General features: G+C 40.6%; 1 protein-coding gene across 34 annotated transcripts in view, besides 1 other annotated feature; it reads left to right on the top strand.

Moving 5' to 3' along the window:
• The window catches only part of RBFOX2 (RNA binding fox-1 homolog 2), a 290089-nt gene that overhangs the window by 96015 nt on the left and 177514 nt on the right, over positions 1–16560 (top strand). The window lies entirely within an intron of this gene.
• Positions 15754–16433: an enhancer, noted in NCBI's record as "H3K27ac-H3K4me1 hESC enhancer chr22:36312425-36313104 (GRCh37/hg19 assembly coordinates)". NCBI's record gives its function as "activates a minimal SCP1, AML or CMV promoter by ChIP-STARR-seq in primed H9 embryonic stem cells {active_cell/tissue: H9 hESC(primed)}" and the evidence as "EXISTENCE:reporter gene assay evidence [ECO:0000049][PMID:30033119]".

Below are 16560 nucleotides of genomic sequence, written 5' to 3'. Positions count from 1 at the left end.
TCCCGGGTTCAAGTGATTCTTCTGCCTCAGCCTCCTGAGTAGCTGGGATTACAGACATGCGACACTAAGCCTGGCTAATTTTTGTATTTTTAGTAGAGACAGTGTTTTGCCATGTTGGCCAGGCTGATCTCAAACTTCTGACCTCAGGTGATCTGCTCACCTCAGCCTCCCAAAGTGCTGGAATTACAGATGTGAACCACCACGCGGGGCCCATTCTTTGATGTTTAAAATGCTTGTCAATGACTTCTCAAAACTATATTTTTTTCTTCAATTTTCTAAAATTCTGTTGAAAGACACAATGTCCCATTGATTAGCAGAAACAAGTGGGAACATCAAAGGAGATGCTTAAGTTGACAAATATAACATAGACAATTATAGATTTAAATTCAGAGTGGCAGCCTTACTTTTAATAAGAGGGTAAATTTAAAATGACCTAAGGGTTTCTTTTCTTAACAAGTATTTTCTTTCCTCAAGATTTTTTTTTTCTTTTTTCTAACCAGTTTTTTCATGGGTAGAAAATGAACTTTATTTTAGTCAAATTTTTGCAATGAACTTTCAAGGCTTTTTTTTTATTGGGAGCTGTGGACAACAGCAAATATATCTTCTGTAGTGCTCATTTGGCTTGATTGAAGAAATGATGACTACTTTTCTTCCCTCGGGGATAGTTGGTGGAATGGAGGACATGGTAAGTGTGTTCAGGTTCTAGCTTAGTGCTTTTGAGCTTAAAAAAAGACTGACCCCAAGGAGGCAGTTGCTTTTATGTCATGACCCAGTATACACACATACATATATGTTGACTATAACTTAGAATTAGTCTTACCAAATGCTGCCTATCTTAACCATGTTCTAAGTACTGTGATATTTTCTGTCCCCTTCAAAAAATTGTCGATTGTGACTAACGATTGACCAAAATTGATTTCTGCTGGATTTTTCCTGGACCCACTAATGGATTGCAACCTGTTTGAAAAACATTGTTCTAATACTTACATTCCTTAAAAATGCAACCTTAAAGAAACCTCATGCCTTTATTTTTTTGAGATGGAGTCTCACTTTGTCACCTAGGCTGGAGTGCAGTGGCATGATCTCTGCTCATTGCAACCTCCACCTCCCAGGCTCAAGTGGTCCTCCTACCTCAGCCTCCTGAGTAGCTGGGACCGCAGGTGTGCACCTCCATGCCCAGCTAGTTTTTGTATTTTTGGTAGAGATGGGGTTTCACCATGTTGCCCAGGTTGGTCTTGAACTCCTGAGTTCATGCGTTCCACCCGCCTCAACCTCCCAAAGTGCTGGGATTACAGCCGTAAGCTTCCATGCCGGGACACAAGAAACCCCATACCTTTTAGCAGTCACTCCCCTACTTTCCATCTCTCCACCCAAGCTCTAAGGCCCCCCAGCTGGAGACTGAATTAAAATGGTTCAGAAGTAAAACGTTACCCCTTCTGTATCTCGCAATCTATAATAATTTTCTTTCTGATCCTCTTTTTTTTTTTTTTTTTAACTAAACATGCTTTTGCTTTGCTCTTAAATTACAGGAAGTGTGAAATTGCTTTTTTTCCCCCCTGTTAGGTTGTCTAGAACCCCACTTTCAGCCTTTGTGCAAAGCTTTTTCAAACTGTTGCTTCTGTCCAACATCTGACCTCAGGTCACCCATCAATAGTTTAGGTCCTTCTGTGGTGTTGTCCTTACACCCTCTAGTGGATGAAGGTCTGGTATATGCTGTAGTGTCTAGTGTTCTTGTAGCACTTTTCTCAATCCATGTAATCAGCTTTACTATTACATTTTAGATCATTTCATTCTTCAAACAGTTAAAAATCTTTTCACTCCAGGAAAGACTGTTTTATTTCTTCTGCTGCTCACTGCCATGCTAAGTAATATGCTTATTCTGCTGTTTCATGATTTGTCCAAATTTTGGCACTATTCTTTGGCTTCCTACTGTTGAAGATGAGAAATTAGCAATTTTATTTTATTTTATTTTTATTTTTTGAGACAAGGTCTTGTTGTGTTGCCCAGGCAGGAGTGCAGGTGTGTCATCTTGGCTTACTGCAACCTCCGCCTCCTGGGTACAAGTGATTCTTGTGCCTCATCCTCCCCTGTAGCTGGCATTACAGGCGCACACCACCAAACCCGACTACTTTTTATATTTTTAGTAGAGATGGGGTTCCTCTGTGTTGGCCAGGCTGATCTCGAACTCCTGACCTCAAGTGATCCGCCTGCTTCAGCCTCCCAAAGTGCTGGGATTACAGGTATGAGCCACTGCGCCTGCCCAGAAATTAGCAGTTTTATAGACCTCTTTCCTTCTAATAAAGCCATTTTTTGGGTCAAATCAATATTTATTGATTTGTGAATATATAATAATTATTATGACTATTTATTTTATATCCAAACAAAATATTATTACTTTGCCTGTCTTACATATTTGTTTCCCTTGGAGTTACTATGTAGAGAAAATAAATATAAATATGTATTTGGCTGTTGCTTTTTAAAAAGCTCTATGGCCAGCGCAGTGGCTCACGCCTGTAATCCCAGCACTTTGGGAGACTGCGGCGGGGGAATCACCTGAGGTCTGGAGCTCGAAACCAGCCTGGCCAACATGGGGAAACCCTATCTCTACTAAAAATACAAAAATTAGTGGGGCATGGTGGCGGGTGCCTGTAATCCCAGCTACTTGGGAGCTGAGGCACGAGAATCGCTTGAACCCAGGAGGCGGAGGTTGCAGTGAGCTGAGATTATGCCACTGCACTCGAGCCTGGGCGACAGAGTGAGACTCCGTCTCAAAAAAAAAAAAAAAAAAAAAAGTTCTATTAAGATGTCATTTCTATACCTAAAATTTACTCAATGTAAGTGACTTGTTCAGTGATATTTAGTAAACGTATAGAGTTGTGTCACAGTCCAGCTTTAGTACATTTCCCTCATTCCCCAAATTCTTTCAAATTCTTTTGCAGTCATTCCCTGCTCCCTCTCCAGTCCTCCCTCTCTCCCCCAGCCAACCACTGCTCTGCTTTCTGACTTTATAAAATTGCCTCTTTTGTGCTGGACACGGTAGCTCATGCCTGTATACCAGTACTTTGGGAGGCCGAGGCAGGAGGATCCTTTGAGCCCAGGAGTTCAAGACCAGCGTGGGCAACACAGCGAGACCATGTCTCAAAAAAAACAAAAAAAATGGTCGCTTTTGGACATTTTATATAAATGGAATTATATGATATATGTAGTCTTTGGCATGAGATTTCTTACAATTAGTATAATGTTTTTGAGGTTCATCCAGGTTGTAGTATGTATCACTGTGTCATTTTTTATTTTTTTTTGCTAAATAATATTTCATTATAGTGATGTATCACCTTTTGTTTATTTGTTTACCAGTTGGTAGATATTTGTATTGTTTCCAACTTGGCTATTATGAATAGTGCTGATATGAAGAATTACCTGCAAATCTGTGTGTTGACATACTTTAATTTCTCTTGGGTAGATTTCTAGGAGTGGAATTACTGAGGCAATGGTAAACTCATGTATAATTTCTTCTTTTTAAGAGAAATAAGCCAGTGTGGTGGCTCATGCCTGTAATCCCAGCACTTTGGGAGGCTGAGGTGGGTGGATCACTTGAGGTCAGGAGTTTGAGACCAGCCTGGTTAACCCAGTTAAACCCCATCTCTACTAGAAATACAAAAATAAAATAAATAAAATAAAATAATAATAATCATAATAAAAGAGAAATGAGGTCGCCAATGCTGGAGTGTGGTGGTGCAATCATAGTTCAATTTAGCTTTGAACTCCTGCCTCAAGTGATCCTCCTGTCTCAGCCTCCCTGAGTAGCTGGTATTACCAGCTTGAGACAACGTGGCCTCATGCATAACTTTTAAAGAAACCACAGACTGTTTTCCAAAGTGGCTTGGTTTTATCTAACTTTTTGTTATAATGAGTGTATGGTAATAGCTCATTGTGGTTTAATTTGCATTTCCCTAATAATTAAGTAGGTACCTTTTCATGTGCTTATCAGCCACTTATGTTTGCTTTGGTGAGATGTCTATTCAGGTCTTTTGCCCACTTTTTATTTGGTTTTTCTTCTTATTGAGTTGTAAGAAGTCTTTATATATTCTGGGTACAAGTTCTTTGTCAGATTTACAATTTGCAAATATTTGTTCTCAGTTATGAGGTTTTGTAATATGTATCTTCGTCCTTCTCCAATAAAAGAAAACAGAATTGTTTTCATCCATATTTGCTAAGTTTGCATAAATTCTGAATAACTATTTTATGAAAGCAACTATGAAAACAGGCATTTGCCTCTCTGCTGAGGCCTGGTGGTTCCTTCAAAGAAGATTTGCAGGTTTGTAGTGGCTTCGTGCTTGGCTACAGCCTTCTCCCGATGCTTGGTGGCAAGCATGTTTGGGCAGGAAAGCTCTTCATGTGATGAAGAGAAATTGTGCTGCTTTCTGCATGTCCTAAGGTATATGGCAGAGTGAGGATCAGCTAGGTTCATTGGCTTTTATTTTTTTAAACTGTAGCTTCTATATAAAGCTGTTTTGTGGCAATTTCTCTGCAGACAGACAGACAGACACCCCTGCCCCCCCAACAGACACAGACACACACACATATGCACACACCCTCCTTGGCTTTAGGTTTAAATATCAATCCTGCTGTTGCAGGCTAAATGACTTTAGGCAAGTTTTTGTTCTCTGAGCCTCAATTTCTTCATCTGTGAAATAGGAATAATTCCTATTATGAAAGGTTGTTACAGTATTAGAGATAACATATGTAAATTTCTTGGCATGTAAATAGGGCTAGTAAGTCATTTTTCTCATTTATTTTATGGAAAAGAGGCCATAAGGAAGCTTTACAAGGGAATGATTAGTTCTCACATTCTGATTTAAGTCTATTTTCTCATTTTCCTTTTGATTCTTATTCACTATTTGAAATGAATTATCTGTAGATTTGAAATTTCTAGCTCAGGAATCTAGCTGTTGGACATCTCCAAGAAAAAGAGGTCTTTGTGAAGGAAATGAAATCTGTGTAAGTTTATTTACCTGACTCTTGGGTCTTGGCAGCATGCGTATAAGAGGGAGTCATTTTTGGGACTTTATAACTTGAGCAGAATTTTGTAAAAACTGAGCCAGACATTCAAGGCTCGCTACAATTTGCTTCCCATTTTTCCAGCTCTGTTTCTCATTACTACCCTAGTAACATATTTCTTCTGCTTTTTTTTTTTTTTTTTTTTTTGAGACGGAGTTTCACTCTTGTTGCCCCGGCTGGAGTGCAATGGTGCGATCTTGGCTCACCGCAACCTCCACCTCCCAGGTTCAAGCAATTCTCCTGCCTCAGCCTCCTGAGTAGCTGGGATTACAGGCATGTGCCACCACACCCAGCTAATTTTGTATTTTTAGTAGAGACAGGATTTCTCCATTTTGGTCAGGCTGGTCTCGAACTCCCAACCTCAGGTGATCCACCTGACTTGGCCTCCCAAAGGGCTGGGATTATAGGCGTGAGCCACTGTGCCCGGCCTTTCTTCTGCTTTATATATGTCTCTTCACTGTCCTTCAAATATCTATCTTGGGCATTTATTTCTTCCTAATGCCTTTCGTTTGAAATGTTTCTCCTTTACCAGCAGAATCCTAAGTATCCATTAAGATCCTTGTTCACAACTTAATCTCCCTTATGAAATTTTTCCTTATTGCCTCTGATTGTTTCAAATCGTTTAACATGTCTGTATGAACATTTCCATAAAGTTTGGATCCAAGAGAGTTTGGGAAATACTGCGAGGACTAGGAGGAAATCACTTAACTTCTCTCAAGACTCAGCTTTCTGTGAATGTGAGGATACCATAGGATGTTTGAAAGGATTAAAGTCTTAAAAATGTCCTAGGTCAAGAGTGACTTATTGCCTGATGTTGTGAAAATAGGTTGCACTAAACTCTGCCTTTGGCTTTCCAGGTAACCCAGAAAGTCTCTTCTCATCTTCTCATCTCTGGGCCCAAGTTTCTTCTTTTTGCTTTAAGGACTCTTTGGTGGTAATGGGTTTGGTTTTTGTGGGTCCTGGGAGTGTCATACTTTGAGCGTTCTCTCACCTCCTAAATCCTTCAGGGCTACTGTGGATCTGTGGATAGATGAATGATGCCAGAAGTATTAAAAATATGGCTGGCTTTTATTCTCATCGCTCTTCTGTACCTGGTTTGTCACATCTTGCCTTTTATGCCGCAGTTTGACTTTTCCCCCTAGCTTTGCCTCTTTTTGCTTAGTTTAGGGTTGCTGGGATTGTTGAGCTGTGATTGTTAGTCCACTCATGACCCAGTTGCTTAAATATTTTGTTAATGGATGGATCATAATTTCACTGATTGACTTTTCAATAGATTGACCTGTTATTTTGTATATAGGCAATTGATTTGTATTGTAATGAGAGGTTTAATGTGACCATCAAAAAGAATTATCTGACTAAAGATAGGGCCATTTACAAAGGAAAATTATAGAATTTCCATTAGCAATTTTCAAAATCGAGAAATTCATCTGACTAGACTTGGTTAGGGCAGCTAAGTAGTTAGTAGGGATATTCTTGCTGTAGCGGTTAGTACTACCAAGCAATCGATGGTCTTTTATAATCAATTCTGGCTACCATTTTGTGAGTTACATTTAAGAAGCTTGACATATTTATTCAGTGCTTTGTTCTTCAACAGACAGTCACTGGCAGATGATTTAGAATGAAACCAACTAATTAAGTATAAGGTAAGACAAAAGGCCTCATAGTTGGTGGACAATATAGTTACGGGTTTCAGTTACAGATTAAATATTTTAATTTTCTTAATAGCATTAGCTGCATACTATTATACTGATCTCATCTAGGGTTGATTAGAGAGACAGGGGAATACAACAGGTAACTTAAGATCTTGTGTTAGAAACTTTGGTACCACCAGAAAATACTCTCAGCAAGTACTATGTAATCATGCATTTAAACAGCTCTGATCTCACTGGAGTCTCATTACTCTGCTTAGCTTTTATCTGCTGAATATTCTTTAGTGTGATATCCTAAGCCTTCTGTGATATGGCCTCAGTCTTTTTCCTTCTGTTTTGTGTAAGGTACTCTGTTCAAGCCACACTGTGGGGTGGGGTAGCGTAGCTTTGGAATTAAATGTGGGTTTGAATTCTAATTCCTTTACTTACACTATTTCCCATGTCCCATGTTTAAATACAGGTCGTCCTTTAAATCTCACTTCAAATGCTACCTTCTCCTTGAGGTTTTGGCTAGTGCATTTATTTGCGAGCTGACTCAGTGTCCCAGGGCACATGCTTTCTACTTTGCTTTTTGTGTTTTTTTTGGAGACAGGATCTCTCTCTGTCCCTCAGGCTGGAGTGCAGTGGCGGAGCCTCGAACTCCTGGGCTCAAGTAAGTGATCCTCCCACCTCAGCCTCCCAAGTAGCTGGAACTACAGGCATGCATGTGCTACCACGCCTAGCTAATTTTTTAATGTTTTATTTTTAGTAAAGACAGCGTCTTGCTATGTTGCCCAGGCTGGTTTTGAATTCCTGAGCTCAAGCAATCCTCTTGCCTCAGGCTCCCAAAGTGTTGGGATTACAGGTGTGAGCCACTGCACCCGGCCTTCTACTTTTTTTTTAAATTTTTTTATTTTTTATTTTTATTTTTTGAGATAAAGTCTTGCTCTGTTGCCCAGGCTGGATTGTAGCGGCTGGATCTCGGCTCACTGCAACCTCTGCCTCCTGAGTTCAAGTGATTCTCCTGTCTCAGCCTCCCGAGTAGCTGAGATTACAAGTATGCGCCACCACGTCTGGCTAACTTTTATATATATATATATTTATTTTAGTAGAGATGGGGTTTCACCATGTTGGCCAGTTCGAGTTGGTCTTGAACTCCTGACCTCAAGTGATCCGCCCACCTCGGCTTCCCAGAGTGCTGGGATTACAGGCGTGAGCCACCATGCCCAGCCCAGCCTCCTACTTTGTAATAGTACTTTATCACTGCCTATTGCATTATGGTGAAAAGGTTTGACCAACACACAGAATTCTGTAAGAACAAGAGTTCTCTCATGCTTCTTAGTTTTCTTGAATACTTTGCACAAAGTATGTGCCCAATATGAATTTGGTAAAGTGTGGTAACGGGATAAATTAAATAAACTCAACTTCAGCTTGTTGAAATACAGAGACTACTCCATTTGGATTTTCTCTTATGGACAAAGTGGGGGAAAAAGCAAAACTGTGGTCAGACTTTCACTAGGTTTTTATTGCCTTTGCCTTGCCAGAGCGATATGAAAAATTAATACTTAAGAAGCTAGATATCTGATGTTCAGCAAGAGAGTGCCTCTTACAAGTTTAATGGGTTTGGTCAAGTGGATATTAAATGTAAATCTGTCATTTTATGGAGCCATAGAAGGCTCTTAAGACACTCAATAAATATACTTATTGAATTAGTAGAACTTTTCCCATGTATCTCCTATTACTACATTAGGATCTTTGTTCCCTTAGTGTGTCTTTAGCCTGTGCTCTCACAAGCTTTGTGGTGTCGTGTGGATCACAGGATCGTTTAAGATAAAGATACTTTTAGCTCTTTAATTCTGGTATTCTATTATTGGTACAGGGAACCCATACATTATCTTAATTTCAGAGTAACACACGTCTCGGCATGGGACAGGGGGTGTCCTAATGAAAAGAGGGCTAACAGGTGGAATACTGACTATGTGCAGGCACTGTATAAAGCAAGTAGTTTTTAAATCCCATTTGCAGGTGAGGAAACCAAGGCTCAAAGGGATTAAGTCATTGTCCAAGGCTATGTAGTTGTTAATGAGTGAATCTGGGTTTTAAAATAAATGTGTTAAATTCCAGGGTTGATATTTGCACTGGGCATTTATTTACTTTTATTTGAATTTTTTTTTTTTTGCATTTTACTTGCATGCTTAATTTTTCTTTGCTCAGCAGCAAACATTATGTTCCCCACTTGCTTCCCACTTGCTTCCCTATTTACTAAGGGGTGATAGTTATGTGTTATGTATCTATAGTCCTGTATAGTTTACAGGTATTGCTGTAATACCTGTAATGGGTATTGCTTTCATACCCATTCTCATTTGATCTTTGGTAAGACCCCAGTGAGTCTTTATTATTTGGGTGGGGGGGAAGGGTTTTAATCTCCATTGGCAGATGAGGAAATCAAGATTTGCAGTTTCCTGAGAGATTTGCCAAGGGTGGTAATAAGTGGCATAAAATTGGCTTTTTAAAAAAAACCAATTCCTTGGCCACAATTTATTAAAAAGGCAAATGGAATGGTCCTCCTAGAAAAGATTTGGAAGTTAGCCAGATGTGGTGGTGTGCACCTGTAGTCTCAGCTACTCTAGAGGCTGAGGCAAGAGGATGGCCTGAACCTAGGAGTTCGAGGCTTCAGTGAGCTGACTGTGCCAGTGCACTCCAGCCTGGGCGACAAAAGACCCTATCTCTAAAACAATATGGAAGTGTAAGAAGTTGGGGAAATAAAAGGAAAAAGAAAAAAGAAAAAAAAGATATGAAAGGCCTGGAGCCCTTTCCCCCATAAGGCTCTGCTGACTGGAAGACAGTTTGAAAACCAGTGAGGAATGATCAAAGAACTCTGGTGTCAGACAGACCTGAGTTCAAATTCCAGTTTGGACTGATACTTAACTTCCCTTAGGCTTACTTCCTCATTTGTAAGATGGGATGCTTTTATAGGATTGCTGATAAGTATTAGCCAAAAAACATGCCAGAAATCTATCACAGTACCTTCAGCTTCTGTGGATGCAAGGGGAGTGTGTTAGGCAGTGTAGGCTGACCCCTCACCACGTGCAGGACTCACACTAAATGTTGGGGGAAGTCATTGCTAAGACAGAGCCATAGGACTTCAAACCCAGCACTTCATACCTGACTGAAGGTTCAGGTGTCACATTTATCAATAGTTTAAAACAGGAGGGGGCAAACTTTCTGTAAAGCATCTGAGAGCATCTGGGCCATATGGTCTCTGTTAGAGCTACTCAGGAACTCTGGCACGGTAGCAGGGAAGCAGGCTTAGATTATAGTAAACAAAAGATTGTGGCTCTATTCTAGTAAAACTTTATTTGTGGGTACCGAAATTTTAATTTCATATAATTTTTATATGTCATGAAATGTCATTTTTCTTTTGATTTTTTCTTTCAATCATTACAAGATGTAAAAGCTATCTTAGCTGGTAGTCTGTGTGTGGGTTCTACAAAAACAAGTAGCCCATAGACCAAAGTCCTGATTTAGACATGTCTAGTTTTTTTTTTTTTTGAAATGGAGTCTAGCTCTGTCACCCAGTCTGGAGTGCAGTGGCGCAATCTTGGCTGACTGCAACCTCTGCCTCCCAGGTTCAAGCAATTCTTCTGCCTCAGCCTTCTGACTAGCTGGAAAATTAGCCACCATGCCCGGCTAATTTTTGTATTTTTAGTAGAGATGGGGTTTCACTATGTTGGTCAGGCTGGCCTCGAACTCCTGACCTCGTGATCTGCCCGCGATGGCCTCCCAAAGTGCTGGGATTACAGGCATGAGCCACCATGCCCGGCCTTATCAGTATTCTTAATACCAACAGAGTTTCACATTGTATTTGACACTATTTACAAACTCAGTTTATTCCCTCTGTGTGAATACTAGCCATTTCTAAAATGAAATGCAATTGTGATTTAAATTTCACATATCATTATGCTAAATGCTGTTCACTTTTTGTTCCATGGTCCTGAAACAATTAACCTGTTTGGAGATAAGCTGCAGATACAAGCACACAGAGAAGGGGACTTAGGAAAGCTGGAGGAAGGAAAGGTCTGTCTTGCCTACATATGGGCTTAGGAAAATTTTCTAACTGGAAACCTTGCCTCAAGTCTGAGTCACACTAGTGGGACTCTTGGCCCTAGGGTGGGAGGAGAAAAGGGAGGGAAGGAAGTGGCTATGTCAGTTTTTGTCAACAGAGGGCACCCAGAGCAAAGCAAGTGTTCTGTGACACAACAGAATCTGCCCCTCTGCCCCAGATGAATTTACCAGACAGGCACAGAACTTCTTGCAGTGGATTCTCTTGTCCATCTCTTCATTTGTCTGATCTGTGTCTGCATTCTCATGTTTTCTCCCATGCTGGAACCAGAATATTCTAAATGCAGTGTTAATAATTGTTATTTGCTGACTGCTTTAAGTGGAAGACCAATTCCCTCAATGTGCTGGGGTGAATTATCCCATGTTGTAAGGTTGGCCTTTTGGGTGGATGTGCAGTATTAGCTTCTAATTTAATTCAGTATCCAGTGAGCATGTATTCCTGAAATACTTTTGATGTGAAAGAGCACTTCATACCTGTATAACATGTTGTAAGAAGACTTTGTAAGTCTTATTGCCTAGAGCAGTATCCTCAAAGTGTGGCTTCAAATCCAGCCGCATCAGCATCACCTGGGAACTTACCTTTATTCATGGTCTCTGCCTCTTCCCCAGACTTACTGAATCAGAAACTCTGAGGATGGGGTCCAGTAATCTGTTTTAACATGCTTTGGTAATTCTTATACACACTCAACTTGAGAACCACTGTCATAGGGTAAAGGAGTGGAAGAGTTAAGGGCACTGGTATTTATGGAAGACTATGTGCCAAGTACTTGGCTAGGAGTTTCCTCTTCATTTTCCACATGAGAACAGCAAGCCTTAAAAGCATTAAGTGATTTGCCAAAGTCGTACATAGAATAAGTGGTAGAATAGGGATTTGAACCCTGGTTTTTCTGACTCCTGAGCCATACTATAGTGGCTGGTAAGAAAATGCTAAGAGGCGTTGCAATCTTTAAATTAATTCTTTTTTAAAAGTCCTTAAAATATTTTTTTAAAACAAAAGTAATTTGCATTCATTGAAGAAAATTTAGAATATACAGCAGATCAAAAGAATAGAATAAAATCTGCCTTAATATATTTAACTTTATCTTAACGTTTTGTTGTTGATTATCTTGTTTCAGCGTAACTCTGTTTGCATATATACACATTTTAAAATTCCTTACCAGATGTCAATCATATTGTGTAAACTTTTGTAAAATGCCTCCAGCTCAGGCCTACTTTATTATAAACATCGTTTCATGCCATTAGCTATGTCTGCTGCATCATTTCATGGCTGCCAAGTAGTCCCTTGTAAGGTTGTAAGCTTTTTTATCATAATTCTTGCTAAAGTCCGTCTTGTTTTGATTTCATGATATGCTTTTAGGAAGAATAGGATACTGAGTGCTTTGGTACTATGGGTAAACAATTTGTCCAGAGTGGCTTAAAGTATAAAATTAAGGCAGTAAGCAGATTTTGGTTGAGAAGGGGACATGGAACTGGAAAGGCAATACTAAACATGTTTGAGGTTAAAGTGAGCCCAGAAATAAGAAAACAAATTGAAGTAAAAAAGCCAAAGTATCAGGAATAGACTGGGATCTGTGAGTTAGATGGGTTAGAACAAATAGGAATACTGATGGTGAACAATTTGATGGCACCAACAGCCTGCTTTTATTGTTGGCTTTTTGACATAGAGGCTGAGCTGCCGAATGACAGCATGAGAAAAACTGGGCATAAGACTTCCATAAATAGCAGTTATTATTTATTGAGGACCTTCATGACCAGGCATCATATTAATCATTTAATTTTTATAATAACCACATGCAATTAGATACATTAGTTTTCCCCATTTTACAGCAGTGGAAACTGACAGTGACATTTAAAGTAACTTGGCCAAATGCTTTGATTGGAACCAAATTAGTTAAAACTCCCAAACCTGTGCTTTTATGCTGTCGTTTATCCTCATTCTTTTTTTCATGGTGTGGCAGGTGTTTAGCCACTATTCTGTGTATATGTATTGTTTTACTATGTGAGCTGGGACAGAAGGAGACTAGGTGTGTAAGAAAGGACACTAAAGTCCACTAGAGTGGAGGTGGACTTGAAGAACAAAACAAAACTAATAGCCCAGTCGTTTTCGTAGGAAAGGTGTAAACCTGAGCTAGATAGTGCAGTGAGCAGAGGATGGGAATAGCAAAGTGAATCATTGATAGGAAGGAGCAGGCAGGCATTTGGAAACAAGGGATGGCTAGAAGAATCAAAGTTCCCTCATTAAAATTTCCTTCCCAAAGGAGGTGATATACTCTCCAAGGGCACTTTAAAACAGCTTTATTGAGATATAATTCACATACTGTACAGTTCACCCATTTAAAGTGTGTGGCTTTTAGCATGTTTACAATCATTCAGCCATCACCATCACCACAGTCAGTTTTAGGACATTTTTAGTATTCCACAAGAAACTCCATTCCCCGTAGTTATCACTTCTTTTTCTTTTTTTTTTTTTTGAGACAGTCTCACTCTGTTGCCCAGGCTGGAGTGCAGTAGCATGATCTCGGCTCACTGCAACCTCCGCCTCCCAGGTTCAAGCTATCCCCCTGCCTCAGCCACCTAAGTAGCTAGGACTACAGGCGCATGCCACCTGCCTAATTTTCGTATTTTTAGTTGAGGTGGCATTTCGCCATGTTGGCCAGGCTGGCCTTGAACTCCTGACCTCAAGTGATCCACGCGCCTCAGCCTCTGAATCTGCTGGAATTACAGGCGTGAGCCACTGCTCCTGGCCAATCATCACTTCTTAATTCCTCTATGCCCACTACTTCCCCAGCCCTATGCAACAAGTGGTCTCCACTTTTCTACAGATTTTGCCTATTCTGTATACAGTTTATATAAATAGACTCAATAGAATATGTGGTCCCTTGTGTCTGGCTTCTTTCACTTAGCATAATGTTTTCACTTAGCACAATCCATGTTATAGCAGTACTTCATTTTTTAATTGCTAAATAATACTTCATTATGTGGATATACCACATCTTATTTAATATTTTTTTTTTATGGTGGGAAAACATGTTTTTATGTTGGGAAAAGAAAGGTGAAGAGACTGAGACAATAAATAGGATTATTTTCCTTAATTTAAAATGGGAGGAATAGGTGACTACTATGAAAACCAAGGCTATCAGGCTTTCTTGAGGAATTGCAGCTAAAGGCCTAGGTGACAGGACAGTTGGCATCTGCTGCTTCATGAATTGTTTGTAGCAGAGTGGCAGCTCTTTTGACCCGAACACGTGCAGTATTCAGGGAGCTCATTGTGTAAATCTTGTGTGTTGGCCAGCACCATTGCCCCCTACAATACCTCATGGGGAACTGGAGAGGCCTTTGCTGATCTAATCTGGATACATTTCCCTCAGTTACTGCAGCTCTGGGTCCCCAGAGAGTCCTCTCTAAAGAGCTGCCAGTTTGTTGAGTGCTGGCATTTGTAAGATTATTTCTTACTATATGATTCGTCCAGTGAAGATGACACCCATTTATGAGGTCCTGATCTATTAAGCAGAAATAGCAACCATCATTCCTGTGTTTTTGGAATGAATGCTGACTCTAGGGCCCCTGTATGCTTTCTCAGCTGTAGAGTTTGGAGGGCTCCTTTAGCAAGCAAACAATGTGCCCTTCTGGGTGCCAGGTGACTTTACTGTTGTTCTGTTGATTCCTGTTAATTACTTTCTTGATTTAATCTCCAAGGAATAGAGATACCTTCATAAAATGAGTGGTATGGCTCAGGATGTAAGTCTTTTTAATTTGTACACCAGAAATGTTGTGGATGGCTTTCTACTTTGCCAGAACTTTCAGTTTAGTTTAGAGAGTGAATTGTAATCATTTGTCTTGATACCCTGGCCCTTTGGCATGTCAGCCCTAACACTGAAACAAGAACTCTGGGTAGAGGACATCAGCTTGGCCCTCAGTTCCTGAGCCATTGAATGTCAGCGCTACATTTAATCATATCACCCCCGTTTTACATTTGGGGAAACTGAGTTCCAGAGAAGTTAGATGACTTACCAAATCCATAGTCTTATTTTCTTATAGCTCTTGCTAGTGGCAAAGCTGAGTCTGTGATATTGAGCCTTCATTCTCAGTGGAGTGCTTTTTTCCCAGTGCAGAGCTGTTTCCTGAAGAACATGTACTGTCATGACCAAGGAGTGGCCAAGCCCTGCTGTACTCCATCAGCAGTGCAGGCTTTAAGGTGTATTTGAGAGTTTGACAGATTGCGATTGTGATGATGAAAATTTATAGGAAAGAGCAAGAGCACTGGTTTGTGAGTTTGCACGCCACTGACTTACAGAACCCAGCCCCTTCTGGCCTCCCCTTCTCCCAGCCTCCCGTGCAGTGCACTGTGTCCAGTGAGTATCTTCATGACTACGTGATTATAATTCCTTGAGAGCCCCATGTCTATTTGCTAAAAAATAAATATGTGCTGCTACACTAACCTAACAAGCAGTCATCTTGTAGTTCCTGCCTGAAAATGTTTGATCATGGTTGTCAACTCTATGCCTGCTATAATTTTTGCCTAGCATAATGTGAAGAGAAAAGATAAAAATCCTTCTCTCACTGTGCATTTTCACTGTCCCCTCCCCTCATTCTTAGTGTATAGAATTCCAGAATGGGCCTTGCTTTCTGACATTTTCCTGCCCCATGACCCTAACAGATCTATTCAACATGACCCTGACGGCTGAGATAGATCTAAACCCAGCCCCTTCACAGTGGAACACTTAAGCTGGGTAGTAGTTCCATACTGAGACCCCTTTCAGTACTTTCTCTTCCTCCCCTTCTTTTTTGTTGTGTCTTCCCCTACCAACATGAGCTCCTTTTTAGGGAGAAGTTGTATCCTTCACTCTTTTCCCCCATCACCTAGGAGTTGCTCAATATAGTCATTAAATAAATTTTGGCATTCTCATGCTGTTTACCATTCATGATGGGATGGGTAAGATGCAGGAATGCTAATAAGGTTGTCAGATGGCCGTGTTATTCCTTTATAGAAGTTGTTTTATGGTCCTTAATAATAATTTATAGTACCAGGTACTATTTACTGAATGCTTGCTATGCATCAGGTATTGTGCTAATGCACATATGCACATACCATCCACTTTTCATTACTCTTTTTTTTTTTTTTTAAATTTTTCAGATAGAGTCTCTCTGTGTCTCCCAGGCTGGAGTGCAGTGGCGTGATCTCGGCTTGCTGCAAAACCTCCTGCCTCAGCTTCCCCAGTAGCTGGGATTACAGGCATGAGCCACCATTCCCAGCTAATTTTTGTATTTTTAGTAGAGACGGTTTCATCATGATGGCCAGGCTGGTCTCGAGCTTCTGATCTCAGGTGACCCGCCCGCGTCAGCCTCTTAAAGTGTTGGGATTACAGGCATGAGCTACCACGGCCGGCCCACTCCTCATTACTATTAACAACCACTCTCCTGGCTGGGCACGGTGACTTGTGCCTGTAACCCCAGCCCTTTGGGAGGCCGAGGCAGGCAGATCACATGAGGCTAGGCGTTCAAGACCAGCATGGACAACATGGCGAAACCCTGTCTCTACTAAAAATACAAATATTAGCCGGGTTTGGTGGCCCATGCCTGCAATCCCAACTACTTGGGAGGCTGAGGCACGAGGATTGCTTGAATCCGGGAGGCAGAGGTTGTAGTGAGCCAAGATCATGCCACTACACTCCAGCCTGAGCAACAGAGTGAGACCCTGTCACAAACAAACAAACAAACATGCAAACACCCATTCTCTCTATAAGGTGGACAG

The sequence above is a fragment of the Homo sapiens genome, chromosome 22 (assembly GCF_000001405.40).
Source record: "Homo sapiens chromosome 22, GRCh38.p14 Primary Assembly".
In the NCBI taxonomy this organism is placed as follows: domain Eukaryota; kingdom Metazoa; phylum Chordata; class Mammalia; order Primates; family Hominidae; genus Homo; species Homo sapiens.
This window is presented reverse-complemented; position numbering and strand designations above follow the sequence as displayed.